This window comes from Homo sapiens, chromosome 3 (genome assembly GCF_000001405.40).
Source record: "Homo sapiens chromosome 3, GRCh38.p14 Primary Assembly".
NCBI classification, from domain to species: domain Eukaryota; kingdom Metazoa; phylum Chordata; class Mammalia; order Primates; family Hominidae; genus Homo; species Homo sapiens.
The window spans coordinates 181,611,259-181,633,675 of record NC_000003.12 but is presented as its reverse complement, the minus strand read 5'-3'; the positions used below and the strand labels follow the sequence as shown (position 1 = coordinate 181,633,675).

General features: G+C 36.1%; 1 long non-coding RNA gene across 6 annotated transcripts in view; it reads right to left on the bottom strand.

Moving 5' to 3' along the window:
• Nucleotides 1-22,417, bottom strand: part of SOX2-OT (SOX2 overlapping transcript) — a 685,549-nt gene that overhangs the window by 108,553 nt on the left and 554,579 nt on the right. The window lies entirely within an intron of this gene.

Here is a 22,417-nt window from a genome sequence, read left to right as displayed (position 1 = left end):
TTACTTTTTTGTAGAGATAAGATCTTGCTATGTTGTCAAGGCTGGTTTTAAACTCCTGGGCTAAGTAATCCTCCTGCCTTGGCGCCCCCTACCCTGCACCAAACGCTAGAATTATAGGCATGAGCCACCATGCCCAGCCTATAGTTTCTTGATATTGACATTAGAGAGTGAATAAAATGCAAACAAAGGGAGAAAAGAAAAGTAAAAAATGTGTCTTGGTTACAAAGAAATAATACTAATTGCAATTGTTCAGCTGAATTAACACATAATTACCACTCAAAAATAATGAAAAACTATAGATAAGTTTTATTTCATTTTGAAGTTCTCTATATGTAAAAGGTGTGATCAATAAGTTAAAAGCCAACTAAGCACCAGTGTTGATGCTTAGAGATACATGCTTGATGGCCATAGTTATTCCAGCATAGCAGCCAGTTTGCAACCTTAAAAAATTAGAACAATATGGGTTACCAGTGAATAAATGCTAGAAGGAAGCCCTTCTGAAAATCCTAGGCATAATGACCCTTTCTTGGAGTATAGGCTGACCTATACTAACTGGATTTTAAGCCATACAAGATAATATTATACAGACACTCTAGAGGCTGTTAGAAGCAATCTCAGACTTATCTGATATTTTGTTTTCAGTCATACGTTTACTGCTAGACAAACCAGTTTTAAGAGCTGTGCCACATGATCACAAATATCTCAATGGCATGTTTATAGGTTATGTGTTTTATACACTAGAAGCCTCTTACAGTCAGAATTATAACAATCACCTGCTTGACAAGTAAATTTATTGGCTGGGCATGGTGGCTCACACCTGTAATCCCAGCACTTCGGGAGGCTGAGACGTGCAGATCACCTGAGGTCAGGCTTTCGAGACCAGCCTGGTGAACATAGTGAACCCTCATCTCTACTAAAAATAGAAAAATTAGCCAGGCATGGTGGCTCATGCCTGTAATCCCAGCTACTCAGGAGGCTGAAGCAGGAGAATTGCTTGAACTGGGGCAGTGGGGGTTGCAGTGAGCAGAGACTGCACCACTGCACTCCAGCCTGGGCGACAGAGACTCTGTCTCAAAAAGGAAAAAAAAAAGTAAACTTACTGGAATATTCTTTTTCAGTATGAAAAACCTCAGACCTTTTAAAGGTACTTAAATAAAAGAAAGGTGTATTTCCTCCAGTAGCAGAAAACTTATCTAGCACCTTTTTTGTACAATTGCTTTCAGTATATTAGCTCATTTAATTCTCACAACTGTATGAGAACATGGAGGCCACAGAGAGATTATTTGTCCAAAGTTACACAGCTTGTAAGGGGAAAAGCCAGGATTTGATCGCAGCCAATTTGGCTCGAGAGCCTCTCCCTTTAACCACCCTGCATGCTGCTGCCTCTCAACACCACTTCTATAGTGCTTCCTGTGGGCCAGGCACTGTTGAAGCATGCACACTACATACTCTTCTTTTTGTCTGCAAACAACTCATCAGACAAGTCAATATGGACTTTCATAAAACCTTTATTTTGACCATATTTCATATGTAAACCCGTAGGGTCAATGTCATGCTGCCAGAACAATTAGAGGAAATTTGACGAGCTACTCAGTAGGCAGACTGTTCCAACAAAAAGATTTTTGCAAAGAAATTAACTTTTAGAGTTGGCAAACAGAAATTATGACTAACAAGACAGGAAAATGCCAGACTTTACAAACATCACACTGTACAACATTAACTGGTATGATTTACTAGAAGTCTTCCGTGGGGCAGGTTTTATAGGACATAAGGTTCTACATCATTATTTTATTTATATCTCAGAACAACTCTATGAGGTATATGTTAATTATTTAATTGAATCTCAAATGTCATAGGTTGTAATTACACAGTTATGTACTAGTAAGAAAAGAAAAAGTGTTGGCAATTGAATGAAGACACACCATCAATTGTAACATGCATTCTAACATCAGAGATGTTAAAATGTGAAAAAAAATGCATCTTACTCTCATGAAATATGGCCTCATTCCTATAATACAGATGAAGAAATAGAATTCATGAAGTTAAATTGCCCAAGATTACATGGTTAGCAAGTGCTAGACCCAGAGCTCACATCCAGGTGGATCTGACTTGAAACCCATGCTCTTAACCATTTGATAGAGTGTCTCAGTCTGCGTTTGTGCTGCATAAAGTGAAATTAAATGTTGTTTTGTTGTTGTTCAGTGGATTGTCAGTATATTGTGGGCTGGTAACTTAAATCCTCAGAGAACTCTTCAGGGTTTGATCACCCATTAATATGGTTTAAATTGACCAAACAGGCCTAGAAAAGAAAATCAGTCTACTCTATTTTAGCTATGTAGCCAGCTTCAACATTACAGCTTTCAAGAGGTAGTTTCTGTCTCATTGTCCTGAAATCATTCTTCATTCTAGCTTATAACAAAAAGGAACTTCTTTAAATAAAATAAGATCTTTGTTTCTGAAGACATTGCTTGGCCTGCTCTTTTGCTCATAAACAAAATACAATTTCTTTAACTTTTAACAACTCAAGATGTTTCCTAACTATGGCATGGTTTGAGATTTGAGAACAAACAAACAAGACCACACAAAGCTTAAAGAAGCAGAGAGCAATTTCATAAAAATGTTTTTAGTCATAAAGACCCACAAGACAGGAAAACAGAAAATGCATACATACTTGACTCAGAATTCCAGTTTTTTCCCTAAGAGGTGACAGCAGCTTTAAACATTGCCTTCCTCTTGTGTAGGATTACATATGCACAGTATACAACTTCAGTTTCTGTTCTAAAAGCATTATGAGCCATTGTTTTTTGATGGTCTCTAGAGGCTAAGGAAAAATGTTATTGGTAGTATGAAAGAATAGGTTTTAATATAGGCATTTAATTTTCTTTCCATATACTCCCTGATTAAAACAAGGTTTGCCCCATTTTCTATTTTTCTTTTGAAAACCCTCTTTACCCACATCAACAAAACAACATACTGACTATAGCTGTGACTTTGGTTCTGTTGCCCTAAGTTCAGATGCAACTTTGATTCATCTCTTACACTGTGTCTAAGCATTGAGTCAACTTTGATTACACTGGCATCATTTAACTTCTACTTTTAAAATCGTTTAATTTTGTTCTCCAAAAAGTTAAACTAAATGATGATATAGCTTATTAAATATAGTTCTTTTTGAAATTAGCTGATAGGAAGTTTAAAAAAATGTACTGCTCCTTACCAATTACTGAAATAAACAGAATACTTAAATTCTCTAGGATAAATATATGTAAATTCAACTTACAAAAGGGGGGCTATTTGGGGTGTTTAGAGTTATCCCCCTCATCCATGATAATATTATAATATTATTAGTGTTTTGGGCTGTAGAACTAATATGCTACTTGTTTCTATAAATATTTTTCTATTTCATATATTCTTCCTCTAATTATTTTTAAGAGTAAAAAAAGTTAAAAAAAATCCCAAATTCAACTTAGATATTACCATAGCTTGGAGAGGTTAAGGCAACCACTAGGTTTAGATTCAAACCTAGGTTTAACTATAAACTACATGCTTTAAAATAAAAGCACACTATGTTACCTTTTCATCATCACATTTAAGTTATACCTATTGGAGCTAGATCAACAAATGTGCTTTGATTTCAAGAGGCAGAATATGGAATATTCTGATAAGACTTAATACTGACATAAACATAACCGGAAAAGAAAATGTTAAAATACTCATACAAACTGGAAGTCTGGGCTTGAATCCAGTGTTAACACAACTAGAATGAATGTCTGAGTTGTGTTGGGATTAAACAGTCAGTTCTAATTCATTCAGTTTCGCTGACAGGAGCCCTTCCTGTGCGTTGGATACCATGTAAAGTATTTTTAATACAAAATTTCTTCCTAGTAACTGCAAGTTAGGTATTACTGGCACCTACTTTTTGCTCAGATGGTTTAGGAGACCTGTCTAAGGCAAACAAGCTGGCAAATGGCAGAGCTGACCTGAGGTACATGCTCAGGTCTGTGGGCCTCAGGGCTGAGTTCTTGCCACTGTGCTATCTGAACGATATCGGATCCACATCCTCATGGAACTTAGACACCATTATAGAAATACTAGAATATAAGATAAAAATGTAAAGAAACTGTCCAGAGATATAAACACACTGTTAGAAAAATTCAAATACCAGTGAGACCTAACTCGATATGTGTGGGAGTTTTGGGGAGCAATAGAGGGTAGACAATAGGGAGAATGCTTCCAGCCAGAGCCTGGATGAAAGAAGGGACTTAATGGAAGGGTGAGATTTTTATGGATATGATGAAGGGTTGGGTAGGACAAAAGTGAATCAGAGAGATGAAACAGGAAATCTCTGTGTTAGTAACACATGAGTGTCAGTAGGAAGTAGGAAGAGATCAAGCTAGAAATATGACTTGTGACTATTACATCAGACATTTGAGGCTCAAGGGGAAGAGGAGTGTGTATGTAATTCACCAGGCCATGGGGCTCACTGGAAAGTTCTGAGTGAAAGAGGCTTTAGGAAGATTAATCTGGTAGTAGTGTGTAGTGGAAGCAGGCCAAGTCACTAAAAGTCAATTCCCTGCAAGCCAGCTTGGCTTTCAGCGAGTAAGATATATATTATTATTCTCATTTTAAGAATGAAGAAACAGGCTCAGAGAGGTGAAGGAGCTTGCCCAAGATCACGGTTAGTAAACAGAAGCGCTACGATGTGAATCAAGCATCTCTGGCTCTAAAGCCCTACTCTGTGCATTGGACCTAACTACTCCAAGTAAGGCCTATGGACTGGTGGCTTTGGCTCCCCGGGGAGCTCATGAGGACTACAGACCTACTGAATCAAAATCTGCATTTTCACAGGATCCTATATGCACATTGAAGTTGCAGAAGCACTAGACTAGGCTACATTTTCTTTTTATAATGATCTATATAATTACTGGAAAAATATTCACCTGGCTACAAATGTAGCTTTTGGGGGTCTACATTAGGTATTTTCCTTACACAAAAGATAAGACTTAACTAAGAAAAGGAACTCTTCTGTGTTTCATTTTCATAAGGAGGCCAACAAGTTAAAAATGTAAAAACTGAAATTGTAACCTAGCTGTGTGACCTTGGGCAAGTCACTTAACCTCTCTGAATTTAGTTTCCTCATCTGCATAGAACTTGGCCTGTAAGAATCAAGTGAGAAGTTATCTGTGACAAAAGCTTCTACACAGGGAACTCATTATAAATATATAAAGCACTGCTATTAGGAGACATGGCTATAAAATATATTATTTTAAAAAACAAATAGAAAGAAAAGAGACAGAAGAAAGGAAGAAAGAAAAAGGAAGTAAAAAGAAAGAAAGGCAGGGATAATATACAAAAGTTAGCTGAAGGAAAACTAGCCTCACTGAAGCAGGAGCATGAAGAGTTGGTGGGTAAAAGCCCTAAGGAGTGAAGGAGTCCAGGAAAGCTAATTTCCGATTCTCATAGGTGTTTCTGAAAATACAGAGACTGTGCCACACATGGGAGTGGGAAGAGTAACAAGGGCCTGTGTGGTCTTGGCCCAAAGTCACAGACCTGAGGTCGGTAAAGCCATAAGAAATTAAAAATATAGCTATATAGTAATTAAAGGAATGAAAAACAGCTCATCTGAGGAAAAATTAATACAGATTTTAAATCTTGGAGCAAAGAAGCCTACATAATGCATTAATAATGGAACATCTGTTACCAATGTATTGTAGTTACCACAGAAAATTAAGATACATTAACCGATTTCAAGCAAGAGATTCTTTAGTTAGCCAAAGTAGTGAGGGAGGTTAGACGCTGAAGTTAAAGAGAGATTAGGACTCCTCATCCCTAATTCATTTGACATATGCTGATTGAGAGCTTACTATTTGCAGGCATTGGGCTAAAATTCTGGGGCTACAAAGTACATAAAACACAGTTACTGCCTTCAATTTGCTAATAATTCAGCAGAGAAAGTTACTATAATGCATAGTAGAAAGTGAAAAGTTCTATAAAATAGTTATAAATAAGACAGCATGAGAATTCTGGGGCAAGAAAGTGTTTACATTGCTATAAGAGGTATTAAGAACGGCTTCCTGTATTAGGTAGACAACTATTTTTCCATTAGTTTTCCAAGAATCAAGGACATTATCAAATATTGATATTATTATCAAATAATCTGGTGAGACTTTTCTTGCTCGATGATGCTGTGATTGCCATTATTATGAAATGAAATAACTGATTAAATTTTAATATACCTAGGACTGAGGAAAAAACTAAAAGTTAGGTAGCAGTAACTGTGACATTACTTTGGCATCACTGTACTATGATAACCCAAATCCATATCATATTTCAAAAGTTTAAAAAAAAAAACTCAAATGGGTTTTAATTCAAACAACCAATTAATTTACTGAAACATTAGCATCAAGTGACTCTTCACTGATTTGTGGCCTCATGCTGACATCAACATATGGAGACAGTATCAATAGATAGAAAACTGGTTAAGTGTCCATCCCCTTTCTTCCTAACTCCTGTGAAATTAACAAAATATTTGTGAGGCAGGGAAGGGGAAGTCACAGTTGTAGTATGTATTGGGCAGGTAGTTTGTGTGCATGAGACAATTAGAATTTTTTATACTGGTCATGAAGAAAAATATAAAAAAACCTTCCTTTCCACATGTTGTAAATCTTTGGTATATTCAATTAAAAAAAGTAAAACATATGTCAAGTGACTACAGTTGTGAGATCTGCTAATGAATTGTCCCATTTCAAGAATTAAAACCTTAATAGTTTAGACAAGAGGAGAATAATGAAAATCAGAAAATATGCCAAATTTATTCCTGTAATTGCTCTAAGGCTAAGCAGTACTCCCTAGAAAGATTTTAGGAGGATGTAGTAACATTAGATATATTTATGATATCTAGATGGCAGAAAAACACCTCTAAAATTTATTAATGGAAGGGATAGAATAGAGTGTTAACTAACAATTTTTTAAAAAGAAATTTCACACATATGATATATAAACTGAATTTTTTGAAGTGATGTCAATAAATGCATAAGCTCTGGGTTTGCTGAACTTCTGAAGGACATGAGCCTGTAATTGGCCTTTCTTATTTCTGTCTTGTTAACAAGTATATAAATAAGAGAAGGCTTCAGTAATTGGCTCAGAGTTACTAATGAATTAATTAACTTCAGTCTATTTTACCTAACCTTTAATAATAAGAGCCTTTTTTTGAGGGGGGGAGTCTAGCAATAGGTCTGACAGACTGAAAAAACAGACATGCAGCAAAGCTCTTGAAAATTAATGAGAAACGAGGAAAGAATCAATGTACATTCTGCTTGCAGAGAACTGACACAAAAAAGACACAATAAACCATGAACAAACACAGTCAGTTTAAAAAATAGGTTAGAAAAAGTGGGCAAATTCAATTATAGAAGTAATTAGAAGATATAGGGCAAGCTGCCTTTTGGGACTGTGCCAGAAAACATGAATTAATATGAGTGAATAGAAAAAGCCCATGTAGTAATTAAGAAGCAATCACCTATGGCAATGAGTACCTGAAAACAGGCTGCAAACTATTAATTCAGTGATCAAAAATATTTTTAGATGATTAATATGGCAAATTTATTTTAAAAGACTAATTTCTGGAAAGATATCAAGACAATAGCACATTATTTGTTCCTCTGGCATTTATATAGCTAATTAAATTTTATAATTTGCAACAACAGTCACTATTATCTGAAAACAGTAAAAGCAATATTTCACCTCTTTTTTAAAAAAACAGTGGCTCTAAAATCAATAAGTTAAATCCAGCTCCTGCTGTCCTCCTGTAAGTACCTAAACCTTGAGTGAGTATTACATTTTTTTCAATGTGTATTTTTCTTATACATCTGTTTCAGTAATATTGAACATTTGAAAGAATGTACATATTCTCATGCCTGGGCATGGATTCCACACACTGTTTAATTTCAACACTATCAAATAAAAGCAATTTAATTTACTATTTGTGCATCAAAGACTTTCTTACTTGGTCAACAGAGGTCTGTTACTTCAGTACACACCATTCCTCCCCTTAGAATACAAAGGCATAGATATGTTATAGTGAAGAGTGCTTTACAACACACAGAAGGCTAATGGCTTCTGAAATAGGTGATTATCAGAGCCCCGTAGAGCGAGATGAGGGTCTGGCTGGTAATAAATAACCTCGCAATAAGAATTATTCTATTTCCACAGCCTTAAGAAAAAGTATGTTTCATTATGGATCAGAAAAGTCTGAAAAATGTTGTCTATTTGGAAATAACAGGGAGCTACTAAAACTAATCAGTCTGTCAGCAGGAAGTTATTGAGCACCTACTACGGGCAAGATGCAAAGGTAAATTTGTAACCTTGTAACATAATTTTTTCTGTGTGGTATTTCCTCTCAGAAACCAATAAACAACAACCCTTGTATGCCATGCTTTAGAGAGACTAGATTTTTAATTACTAAATTTGCTCATGGATTAATGCTATTTTAAATTTAAAAACTTTTTTTTTTTTTTTTTGTTATGGATGGGGTCTTACTATGTGGCACAGGCTGGTCTCAAACTCCAGGCTTCAAGTGATCCTCTCACCTTGGCTTCCCAAAGTGTTGGGACTATTGGCATGAGCCACCACACCTAGCCTAGGATTAATACTATTTTTTAGGTTAAGGTACAAATTGATGACCTACAAAACAGAGCAAACTAGAAACTCATTGAGAGTCACTATTGCAGATGGCATGGAAGTAATAGATGTATAGGTATTGGAGAAAAATTTAAAAGGAAGGATTTTGACAAGATATCAAATTAAACGGATTTTAGATCTATCTAGTGTTTTCATTATCCATATTTTTCTCTTTTTCTTAAAAACAAACTGGGAGCTTTTGAAAACAACACATAAGAAAAGAGAGCTGCTAACAGAGTTCTCTCATTCTCTGAGTTTGTTTCATGTTAATTATCAAAACATAGGTATAGCAACAGCAAACAAACAATTCTTCTGCTGCCAGTTGATGATGATGACAGAGAGCTCCCAGAGAGACAGGCAATTGGGAACTAGCGAAGTGAGGACAGCTTAGAGGTGTTGGGGCTGAGAGGGGCTGCCAGCTGAACAGGACCTACTCACCATGAAATGTTAATGTGTCAATAAAGGAGAAAAGCATGAATGAACCACAAAAAAACTGAAAATGACTCAGCTGGTTGGAGATGGAATGTTGGCTTTTTGCCAAAGTAAGGTATTCAAGGGCACACACCCTAATACCTAGGGGAAAAACAAAGGCTGCTCCCTGATTTTAGAAAAAGAAAATACTTTGGAGAAGGGAGACAAATGGCATTTTCTTCAGAAATAAACTTTGTTCCTTTTTTTTCTTTCCCCCTTCCTTCCATCCCACAAACATTTTCTGAGTTCTTACTTTTGCCAGGCACTGCGATAGGAATGGAGAAGGAAGAGAGGGAGAGCGGAATATAAAGATAAATGAGACATAGCCCCTTGTCCAAAGCTCCTATGATAGAGGAAGGAAAGATGTACGCAGCTAACTCTAATAAAAGATGGTGACATAAGTGCAAAAGAGGGATGAGGTAAGCTGTAGTGGTAGTGCAGAGGAAAGGAGCAATTAGCTGGGGGCTACAGTAAATCAAAAACAGGTTGTCAGAGAGGAGGTAGCATTTATGCTTATCTTGAAGAATGATAGGCAGGAATAGAAGGAGGAAATTTCAGTGGGAAGGAACTTTCTCTTACCCTAACTTCCTCTTTTTCTAATCATGGTTATTTCAGGAAAAGCAAGTAGACAACTATGACTTGTGTGTATATAGCACAATGGTGTGTGTGTGTGTAGCGGTGGGTGTGAGAGGAAAGATTGGGTGGGAAGAGGATTTTTCTGGAATTTATAATACTTCTTCCTCATGTCTCAAACTTTTGTCTCTATACACTAGTATTTTAAAAAAACACATTCTTTTCTTTTTAGGTATTTGAATAATATCTGGGTCCTGTTTGACTGGAAAATGTGATCTTCCAATAGCTTTTATTTTTTGTTTGATGGCTTTGTCGTTTTTGTCAATGATAAGTCCTTATTCTAGCTTATGGCTTGATGATTCTTTTGGGTTGTACTGTGTTTATCCATGCATTCAATTATTCCTTCATTAATGTATCCTTTCCTTTTCTCATCTTACTAGTTGACAAGTATTCTGCTAGACATAGTTTATTCCTTTCTTTCTTCTAGTCTGCAAATTATGCCATTTCTAACATGAAACATGGAAATTATTCTAAATACACTGACTAAAAGATCACACTTAAACATATGGTTGTGTCCTATACCAAATAGAACATCAAAACCCATATTGTTTTTTGTTTTAACTTAATTTTTTTTTTTTTTTTTTTTTTTTAGAGATAGACTAAAGGAGTCCTCCTGCCTCAGTCTCCTTAGTAGCTGGAACTATAGGCACGCATCACCATGCCCAGCTCAATTTTGTTCCTGACAAATGTATTGGTCAGTGGGATCATGTAGACTGGTCTGTTTTTTTATTAAGAGGTTTTTCAAAGGAAGTCTCTAGAGCAATACCTTAGTCAAGGTAACTAAAATAGGCTTATCTGTAAATGGAGAAGAATTTCAGACTGGGATGGGTCAAAAGTTTCCTACATACAAAACCAGCCTTGTTTACTGGATAAACAAAATCTAAGTTTCCATGTCTCTCTAGGGGCTAAGGAAGGAAAAGTAACTATCATGCATGAATATGAAGTCATTGAAAGGATTCTTTTTAAGTACTCTGCTAGAAATGAGGGGTACAAAAATGATTAAAACATGAGCCTTGCCCTCAAGGAACTACTTCTCTCAAGAAGAAGATAAGTTAGATAAGTAAATCAATTATTATTATACAGCCATAAGATATAAAAGCGTAGCAAGCTATGAGATCACAAAGGAGGTGTATCTAAATTAGACTGGGACAGTGGGGTAAGAGGATAACATGCCAGAACTGAGTTTTTAGGAATGAGAATTTAATTAGCTGAAGAAGCGGGCCAAGGGAAGGTGCTGCATAAAATAGCATGACGAACTTGGGAATGTCTTTTTGTGAACGTACGAAGTACTGAGTTAACAGGGTGGGGATGGTGAAAATATCCCTTACACAGACCGGGCTCTCTCTGGTGTTTTCAGTTCCCTGACTCATTTCCTTTTCCTACCTCCTTTTCTTTTACTCAAGGTTTCTGGACAGAGTGAAATAGAAAGTCTTGTCTGTGGACATTTCAGAATTTGAAAGCTTCTGGCCTAGAGTGTAATGATGGGGTATCTCAAATGGGTATTCATGCTAACGACCTAGGTGAAACAGTAACGGGTGAGATTATAATACACTTGTGTGTCTCACAAAGATGTTGACATCTATGGAAATGATTTATTTCTCTATGCCAATGTTTTATTTGAATTTAGAGCCCAGAATAAGCAGCTTGTCACAAAGACCTCAAAATGTTTCTTATGTGAACAACCTCAAGAAAAGGAACCAAGACAATTGTTAGCAAGAAGATTGATCTGAGAATTAGCTCTAGCGTATTGAATGTTAAAGGTGTTTATTAGAAATGTCCACTCCATTTATAAATTCTCCGCTTAGCTAACTCCCACTCATCTTTTAGGTATCAGCTCTCTTGCTCTCTCTCTCTCTCTCTCTCTAAAGATATGTCTCATTTATCTTTATATTCCTCTCTCTCTCTCTCTAAAGATATGCCTCATTTATCTTTATATTCCTTTCTCTCTCTCTCTCTCTCTCTATACATATATATATATATATATAATTTTTATTTCTGAGAAGGTTTGCCTGATATTCTATATTAGATCACATCCTTCTGTTGTGTGTTTTTTCAGTACTTTGCATTTTTCCTTTGTAGCATTTAATATGACTCCAATTAAATACTGAATTATATAATTAATGGTTTCATATCAGTTTCTTTAAGTAGAATGTTAGCTTCAAGAGGGCAGGAATTGGGATTTATACAGCAATATCCACAATGCCTAGCCACATTTCTGGTACATAGTAGGTACTCAATAAATATTTTTTGAACGTTTTATTTACTTTTTATACCAATTTCAGTGAAACGCAAATGTAACAAATTAAAATGGACCAGAACTGCTAAGTAAAACCAGATCTACAGCTTCTAAAGCTAACTGGATCCTCCAGAAGTTTCTCAAATCTGACCCTGGCTCCTAGGAGAATTCAATTGATGGGACTAGGTTATCTCCTCTTCATGCTTTTAGCTGACCTCCTCATACCAGTTTGGCTCAAAATGAATCCAACATCTTCCCATTCATCTGTGTCAGGACATCTTTATTATTGCAACTTGCTTTCCTCAGGCCAGAGCTTCCTTCGTTATTGAGTTCCAACTGGAAAAGTCACTGTGCCAAGCATTTGGGATAAAAACATGAATCACACCTGTAATCCCAGCATTTTGGGAGGCCGAGGTAGGTGGGTCACGAGGTCAGGAGTCCAAGACCAGCCTGGCCAAGATGGTGAAATCCTGTCTCTACTAAAAATACAAAAAAAAAAAAAAATTAGCCAGGCGTGCTGGCGGGCACCTGTAATCCCAGCTACTCAGAAGGCTGAGGCAGGAGAATTGCTTGAACCCGGGAGGCGGAGGTTGCAGTGAGCCAAGATCCCGCCACTGCACTCCAGCCTGGGCAACAGAGCGAGACTCCGTCTCAATAAATAAATAAATAAAAATAAAAATAAAAACATGAAAATGCATGGCCCTGACCTCAGGAGAGTCATAGGCTGCCACCTGAGTTGCAAGACTGGAGAAGGTTTCAACTGTCTTCAGGAAACCCCTGCCTATAATTATACCACAAGACCATCACCCTTTTAGATTAAATGATCTGGTCCCTGTTATAATACCTATAATCCTGGAAATAATAACTTGTTAAAGCTGTTATTAACCACATTTACCTTCATGGGAGTGAGGTATCTGAGAGTGGGTTTTGACCCAGAGGGTACAGGGACAGGGGATACGGATGTTGGGAGCATGAGAGGAAGAGGGACAAGAAATGTCAGTAAGCTGGGAAAGATCTGGAAGAATAGTGCCTAGCACATAATAGACACAAGACAACGCTTGGTTGAGTAAATAAAAGATAAACTGCTTTCTTCACATTGGTTGAGGGTTGGCCCTACCTTAGGCTGCTGTCTTAGGTAACTAGCAATTTCTGGTTCAGAAAAAGTTTACAAAATATGAAACAGATAGCTGCAGCTGTTTGGGGTTGATGCCACATCCCAATTACACTATCAAATTCTAAGACTTTAGAGGGAGAACATACAAAATTTTTTTTCGTTTTTATCACTACTAAGTCAAGAGGATTTCCATTTTCAGAAATATTATAAGGAGGAGTTCTACCCTGTTTTCAAGGTTTGATGTAAGCTTGAGCTTAGATGCGTATGCTGGGTTATCTTAGCTATTCCAACTTTTTTTTTTTTTTTTAATTGAAGAAACTCCAATAGACTCAAATTGGTCATGAGAACTAGTGGTGATGTTTCAAAAGACAACAAATGCCATACTGATGTCTGAATACTAAGGTTCTTTTCCATGTCTGTGAGTATAATGCTTGCTTACACATACTAGCAAAGAACACAATTAGCATACTAATTTGATTCTTTATCTAAAGAAAGGAAGATTCTTTTGACACAGACAGCTGTCCATGAATAGCTAGGGTGACCTTTGGTCAGTTTTCCATCTGTCTTAGAGTAAAAAGTCCAGACTTAGGCACACATTATCTGTATGACCTTGGGCAGCTTTCTTGTTACTGTTTCTCAGTGTCTTCCTCTGTAAAATGGGAGCACATCTAATACCTGCCTCACAGAGTTGTAGTAAGGATTAGGTTAGCACTTTGCTCACAATAGACACTGTAATATTTTTTAACTCTTGTCTGAATGTTTTTTATTCTTAGGAAATTTGCAGTAATCCTAGGACTCTTTATTTGTACCTGCCTTTGAAGAGAGGGATAGAGACAGGTTTTCCTCCATCCATTTTGAGCCTCCCTATGAACTATGTGGGATTAAGCTTGCCCTGACTTTATTAAAGAGCAAAGAATCCTGCAGCTATAGAGATGTCACAGTTTCCTCCTGCCCTTGGTTCCCAGGATTACAAATCTCCACAGGATTAGATGCACAGAAGCAGGGAGTGATAACTGGGGATGTCTTAGGCTCATCTAGTGGTCATTGGATGCTCTCAGACTATCAGGTTAACAAATCAAAATAGCACCAATTATAACTGCATGACTAAATTAGTTTCCTAATATCTCCCTATACTGATTCCCCCTTCTCCCACCTTTTTCCCTTCCTTAGACTGGTGGTTCTTAACCTTGGCTGCACTTTGGAATAATCTGTGGAGCTTTAAAAAATACTGATGTCTGGGTCCCATCCTCAGAAGCTCTTATTCAACTTGTCTGGAGCATAGTCTCAGTACTGGGCTTTGAAAAAATTCCCCAGAAAATCATCACACTTTGAACACTAAAAACTTCAAAAATAATTTAGTTTTCAACATAAAGCCTAAGCTAACACATGCCAATAATGCAATTAGTAAAAAGACAGAAATTTAGTTACGACACATAAAATTAGTTTTATGCTATTAATCATATTTCGGCATTTTATGATTATTTCGATCCTAGTTTAAGGTAAACAATAACTCTGTCCTGTCTTGCTCCATAAACATAAGGCTGTTGAGTCAACCTGGTGTGAGGAGACATCAGGTTGGAAGGAGAAAAGCAGTATGATGTGCTCCAATCATTTGCTGAAATAGTCTCAAGAGCCAATGGTTGGTCAGAGTACCTTCTCAAGTCTCAGCTCCACAGATCTAAGAATCTCCATTTCTTAGTAGCTCTGCCAATTTAGTTGCCAATTTCACTAAAAGGATATGTCTTAACCCCAGTTTCATGAGATCAATGTGCCATGATCAGCTGTGATTGAGATCTGTTCTAAGAAGTATGAAATAATAATAAAGTTCTGGTGTTTGCAGACAATATATTTAAGAATGAATTACAGCAAATTCAAGATTATCCTTGCAATAGTATTGCTTTCACTCATACCCCAGTACACTGTTTTGAATGGGAGAATATGATGGAGTTACAATTACTATGGGGGACTGCTATTTGACATGAGTGTCCCTGTGGAACAAAGCTTGGGGTTTTATAAAAACCACCCTCCCAAGTCAAAGAAGTTCTTCACTGTGCCTCAAGTTTGCAGCAGTGCATACTAATGGAGGGTGAAGGGGAGACCCAGACAAAGGAGCTTCTCTGTGTTCCAGTACCCAGTCTCTTTTCGGGGGACAGAGAGAACCTTGTTTTCTTACATTGGAGATGAAAGCTTGTTTATAAAGTCACACCTGAAGCTATCTCTGCACTAAAAATGAAAAAAAAAAGTCCTAAGTAATTCTATCAACCTTTTCTCATCACTAAAAATCAGTTTTTAAATGTGTGAAGGGTAAATACAAAATTTTTGGAAAAAATGAAGCCAAATCATTATATATATGTGTGGGGTGGGAATTCTCCTGATACATGAAGTACTTGTGATCTGACTGGTAATTTTAATGTCTTCTGCTGAAGATGAAGGAATGAATACTTCATTTAGCTTTTCATTTGCTAACTGAACTTGCTAGTTGCATGAAAAGAGAAATTATCAGTTAAGTAATTTAACCCAACACTGATTTTTTTTTTTAAAGTTCTGAGCAGAAGGGAAAACGAGGCTTGAAGATAAGACCTGGAGAAGGGAGAAATACGGTAAGCACTCAATAAATGATTGTCGGTAGGTAGTTGTCAGGGTAGTGATGATGATAATAAATTTCCCTGAGAACTGTTTTCAAAGTAGTAATGTGCAGAAGGGAACATACTACTCTGCCTTTTAAGAGCAATGGGCTATTTTGAATATTACTTATGACTTTTTCATGCTGACAGTCATTTTTTTCTAGTAAGAAATTTAGAATATAAAATAAAGGATTTTTGAATAATTTAGTATATGCAAACTGAAATCACCTGGATGCCGTTTTTCATTCTGCTACTAATTGCCATTGTTTAAGACAAATTATATAATTGTTCTATCTTTTAGTGCCTCAATTTTCATTTCAACATTTAACTTATTAGTGAGTAATCTTAAGTGGAGTCCTTTGAGTTAAATGAATTAAGATCTTACTCTTTAATTTTTAAAGTAAAATGGATCAAAATGAGCAAATACATTTAAAATATACAGTTTGTGAATTAGATTCCTCATTTTCATAAGGCCAGTGAAGGGAGAGCCCACATTCAGATGTCAAGCAAAAGTGTGATGGGGTCCTATTACTATCTGTTACTACCAATTCTATTAGCAACAATAAGTTTCAGAAAATTAATGGGTGGTAGCCCAAGAATGAATTGCTTATCAAGAGAAAATCAGGAAGGTTTGGGGGCACTTCTCTAAACTTTCAAAGCAGACAACTATCCTGACTTCCCATAATACATTTCATTGGGTCACTTCCTGAGACAGAATTCTACAAGGGCCAGTCTGACACATGTGGCGTTTGTTGCACTATTGATGTTGAAACACTACATTTTCTTTTCCTTCTATCTCTTGCTCCTTATTTTAAACTGCTATTTATTTTATATTGCCCCTTATTTTACACTGACCCTAGCCTACAGTATATGAAATCTCAGTTTTTTTCATTCTGCAGATAATTTCTGGCTCTGTGATTTTAGATCCATTACCCTTTACTGAGCTTTTATGTCACTAGAGAGAGCTTTGCATTTTAATAAAGTTTCCAATCCTCTAGGGCCCTCTCCCCTGAAACAGCCCCAGCTCCCCAGGGCTGCTGAAGAGTTGAGCAGAGAGAGTAGAAGCTTTTGTGGACAGTGATGCTGATGGCAGATAACTCCAGCTGTCATTACAAGATCATCCAGATAAGGGGGAACAATCAAGTAGGGGCTTACGGTCCACTTGAGTTTTTCTGATTGTAAAACCAGCCATTTTTCAATTTAAATAATTTAAGGATTCCAGCTTCTCTATACTCTAAGGCTCATTTAGCCTCTTATTAGCTAACTGTTTCTCCAGTTCAAGAGGTGGAAGGGAAGAGTGCAGATTTTTTGTTATTGTTAATTCACAGCAGTGGGTAGTGGCATGTAAATAAAAAGTAAGCCAAACAAATTTGATGAGAAGAGAGAATAGGAATCCATATAAATAATCATAATTGATTTTAAAAAGTTAATTAAAAGGAATAAAAAGAGGCAAATACTGCATGGCCTAGCATATATCAATAGACAAATGACAGAGAGGAGAGACTGAATTAGAAAATTGATTCCCAGCTAACTAGAGGAAGGAAGCCTACTAACACAGCTCTTAATTTTAACTTGAAAATTCCAAATTATTTTCTAAGTTCTTTTCCTCGCAGTATTCTGATAATAATTTTATGTCACATTGTTCCCATTGAAGGAAATGCTGGGATGAGAAAGAAAGAAAAAGCAAAACAAAGTTGCAATATCCCAGAGAATTCAGCTCAGCACTGATTCACAGAACTCACATGTGACACATCCATGATGAAAAATGCAGGTAACAAACCAGAGTGGGCATAAGGTCCTCCTTCTTTTTCTCTTAGTTATAAGCCTTTTTTTTTTCTTTTAGATTTTGCAATCTTTCCTGCTTCCCTAATCTCTGTGATCAAAGGGCAGTCACCTACAATATGTATTTTCAAGTGGTATACACAGGAGTTAGGATGCAAGGCATTCAGTTTCATACAAGGAAGTGGAACACTGGACAACAGTCCAACAAGAAGATGAGGCCCTTCTTCAGCCTTTCAAGTGCTCCTTTTTGGCAGGATCATGATTTGTATTTTTGTGTAGGAGCTCTAAGGATGAGTAAGATGCTGGATAACAATGATATGCCTATGGGCCTATCCTTTTCCTTTGCTTAGGAGACACATTCCACTCCCATGAAGAAAGGTTCCCAGCATGAAGGTCAGAGCCTGAGAGAGAAGGATGGATAGATAGTCAGAAGCAATATGTCCTGACAGAGGTAGGACCCATGGTTACCATCAAATAAGGTCTTCTGCTGACGCTTGAAAGGAATCTTCTTATATGGAAGGTAACATCAACAGCTAAGATGCCACAATAGGAGGGAAGACCAGAAAATGCATTTTCTTTTCTTTTTTCCTTCCTCCTTTCCTCTCCTTTTCTTCTCTCCTTCTCTTTCTATCTCCTTCCCTTCTAAGCAATAGAAGCCCATCTTTGAATTGCTAGAGAACTATCATAGAATCAATTGCTGATACATACGTAGCTTTCAAAGAAATATTATTTCTATCTCTATTCAAAGACCAGACCACTGAACTGATGGAGTTTTTCCCCCTTTCCCTCTTCTCTCATTTCAGAATGAGGAAAAACAACAACAAAAAACATAGCCAGATAAGCTATAAGTGTTAGAAACAGCTAATATTGCTTGTGCTTCCTGTATTCATTCATTCCTTTCTTTCCTTTTCCCTCTCTCCCTCCCTCCCTTCCTCCCTCCCTTCCTTCCTTCCTTCCCTCCATCCCTCCCTCCCTCCTTTTTTGTTTCCTCCCTTTCTTGCTTTCTTCTTTTCTTTCTTCCCTTCTTCTGACTTTCACATTAGAGCACTTTCAGTGACTTCTTTCCCAGACTGTAAACTCTGTAAGGTCAGGGGTTCTGACTGATTTACTCATTACTGTATTCCCAGCACTTAGCCCATGCCTAAATATTTGTTGAGTGATTGAATTAATGAGATTTACTACCATAAGATAAAGATAAAAGATTTGTAAACACAGAGCCAGTGAACATAAATAGTATAAACATCACTTTATAGATCTTTTTTAATCTGCAAAGGTTGGATTAGAGGAAAATTTCCTAAAATGTGTTAAAAATATTAGCTCTGAAGAATAAAAATAGACTTTTTGGCAAAATAGGTTGGGGGAAACCTATGGAAAAATAGTTTGGGATACACTATATTATACAAGGTTCAAAGAGATCTTTATGATTTACCAGAGTTTTTCAAGTACAAATTTTCATTGTGAATTTCTTAGAGAAGGACATAAATTATTTGACCGTGTTATTTTTTTTTTAGCTGGCATAGCTTATAGGGATGGTATTCCATAAAACATGTTTTGAAAAATTAGCATCTTAATTCAGTTTTTTAAAAAAAATTTCTTTCTTTTGGATTTAAGTACTAATTATTTTTCTACTGTAAAAAATACCACTTAAGTTAACATTACTGAACTATACCGTTAAAAATGGTGAGGGTAGTAAATTTTATTTTTTTACCACAATTAGAAATACCATTAAGAAACCTCCAAAATATTACTTTACTAAGAAGTAAGAGGAATCAATCTTTTACCTAACAGCTACAACAATGCAGCCAGAATGAATAATATTGCCAAATAAAGGGCTTGATTTTGGTCTATAATGTTAAAAAATTCCATTTACCACCTAGATACTATATCTTCAGGAAGCATCCTGATTTTAAACATATGGCTGTGAATCTCTTGGTGTGAGCTTTTAGCAATATAGTTTAGGAGGCCTGGACATACAGAGCCATGACTGTGTCTGGTTAGGAGAGTAAGCCTGGGACCAGGAGACAAGAAACTGGGTGATAAAATTGACACTGTCACTCACTCAGTGTACAACCTTGAGTAAACCCTGCTTTCCTTTTCTATAAGATAGCCTCAGTCAGTAATGTTTCACTTTTTCTTTCTAGCATGGGATTTTCATGAGTAAATCTTAATGGAACTCTAATATACACAGCAGATAATAGCAGAGGTACTCTGGTCTCAGTGGGGCAGGAGGCTGCTTGGTTCTTTCCAAGTCTTACTCCTGCTTCTAGGAGTTAAGACTGAAATAGAAAAGAATGTTTGTGTCCGTTATAAAGCTTGTGAGCCCCTGTAACTTCATACAGACCCACACAGTATACAGCTGTTAAAGAATATTGAACGCTGCCACACTGCATGTGGTGAACACCTTTTGAATTTCAACATATATTTTAGATTAAAAAATAAGAAAAAAAACACCAGAAAGTACCCTTCCCTCAGTCACTTTATGTATACATTTTAACATATAAGCTTGATGGCAAATTAAAATCGAATGCAAATATTTTTCCTGAAAAGTTGCCCATTTATATAGTTTTCTTAGACTCTCTTAGTTTTTAATGGGAAGGCTTTCCTAATAACAAAAAGTGTTAATTACATAAATATGCGTGTTCTTTTCAAAGCCTTACACTATATTATGGATAATAAACAATAGAGAAATAAATACAAAACTGTTTCAACAGAAACACTGCTTCTTGAACAGCCTTTAACATTATGACATGTTTACTGGGAAAATGCATTACTCATGACAGGGTTACAAAAGCAATATTAACCTTCTTGAAATGTAACAGCAAAAAGTCAGATGTAAAAATCAGTACCAGGCATGGTAATGTAACTACTTTTGTTAAGATTATACATAGAAATAAAGCAGATATTTAAAGCTACATTAAGGTGTAGATAAATAAAGGATCCTTTAGAAGATTCACAACACACATCACAACTAAATTCATGATGCAGATTGTCCTAAAGATAGCATTCTTGGAGATGAAAACCCTGTGCTTTCTTTTGATTGTTTTTCTTTTGGGCACTGCTGCTTTTGCAATTTTGTGCAGGGTGTCAGACATTAAACTTGTCCTTAAAGCAAATTAAAAAAAATAAGATAGACATAATCTATCTTTTGGGATAGGCACTTGTTATATCGACAAATTACCAAACACTTTCACTATATCTGATATGACTAATGAGTCGTTGTAATCTATAATCAAAAAGAATGTTTGCTTCTGTAAAAAATAAGAATTTACCCCAAACAACCTTTCATAATAAGCAAAGAACTCCAAAGTAATGGTTTAAAATGTCTGATGAAATACACACTATAAAATCGCACTTACCATCAAATGCAAGTTAGATTTACAAAATAATTTTTCATCAAATTTATTTTGTTGCTATTGTTTTATCGTAAGACCCATTACTTGTCTAGTCATGTAGTGTTGATGTTTAAAAGGGATTCATGTTTTAAAATAATCCTAAAATATTTCATTAAAATCTGTTAGGGAATTTTTCTTATTCTGGAGAATGTTAGCTTGAGGCTTATTTAAAAAATAAAGGTCAAAAGTCAGAAAGGATAATAGCTGATGGTTTTGATAATGCTAATTATATATTACTGAGAATAAAGGTAGAAAGGGAAATATGAATACTAAAGAAAGATAAACATCCCAATGCTGGATTTTTAAAAAACAATGAAAAACCCTTAAAATGTCTTTGTATGTCACTGTCATAATTCAAAGACATAATGAAGCCTGAATTAAAAATGTCAGTTTCTGTGAGTGTTGATAACTTGGTTCTTTGTTGGGCAAGTCAAAATGTGTCTGTTTGATAGGCAAAAATGACAGACTAAAAATGGGAGAAGTTGAATCTAAAAAAAGAAACACACACACACGAACACACATGAACACACACACACACACACACACACACACACACACACACGCACGACTTTTAAAAAAGGCCCATAATGTACTTGAAGGAGAAGACCTGTAGGGTAGGAGGCAATATCTTTAGGAAGTCACCAAGCAGCACTAAAAGGCAATGTCCATGGCCAATCAAAACGATTTCTGAGACTGCTGGGGCTCTTGCATCTCTGTCTTTACACTAGACTGGAAACCCTTTGTAGTAATTACCAGACTGTACCAGATTTTCTGGTTCAGTTCAATCTTATAATTGACTGACAGTGATGGGCCAGGAGGGGGAAAAATTCAGGCTCACCACTGCAAGCAGAGGATCAGAAATGGTTTCACAGAGAGCTAGTTACAGCCTGGCACTAAAAGCAGGGTTAAGCAAGCATCATCAGCAAGTTCTCCTAATTCCCAGGTTAGAAAGGAAGTTAGGAGGAAAAAACAACAATCCATGGGTGCTCTCATCTTACAGATCAATCCTTAGCATGCAACCATTTTACAAAAAATGAATGGAGAATAGCCTTAAGTGTAAATTGTAATTTTAGATGTCACTAAATTTTAGATGATTTTTATTTTGCTTTTGGGAAAAGATAAAGGTTTGTCTCCCAAACTCAAATACGGTCATCTTGCTTAAGTTAAGGAGACTTTTGTTCTATTTATACTAAGGAAGAAAAACAATGCTGCTATTTCATTCCTAGGGCTCAAAAATAATTGAAGTGCAAGGCATATTTCGCCTATGATATGTTACATAATCAAAGTTAATTTGAAAGCACTTAACATCAAAATTCTCACATCCTTTCCTTATTTGTAATTCACTGATTTGGATTTACTGTGTATCCATAGTTAGTAAATTGTTACCCATAAATCCATACTGTTTAAAAAGAAAAGATTGAATAATAATTTACATGAACTCAGAGTTAATGCATTAAAAAAATCGAACACGTTGAGCGCTGTATTAAAG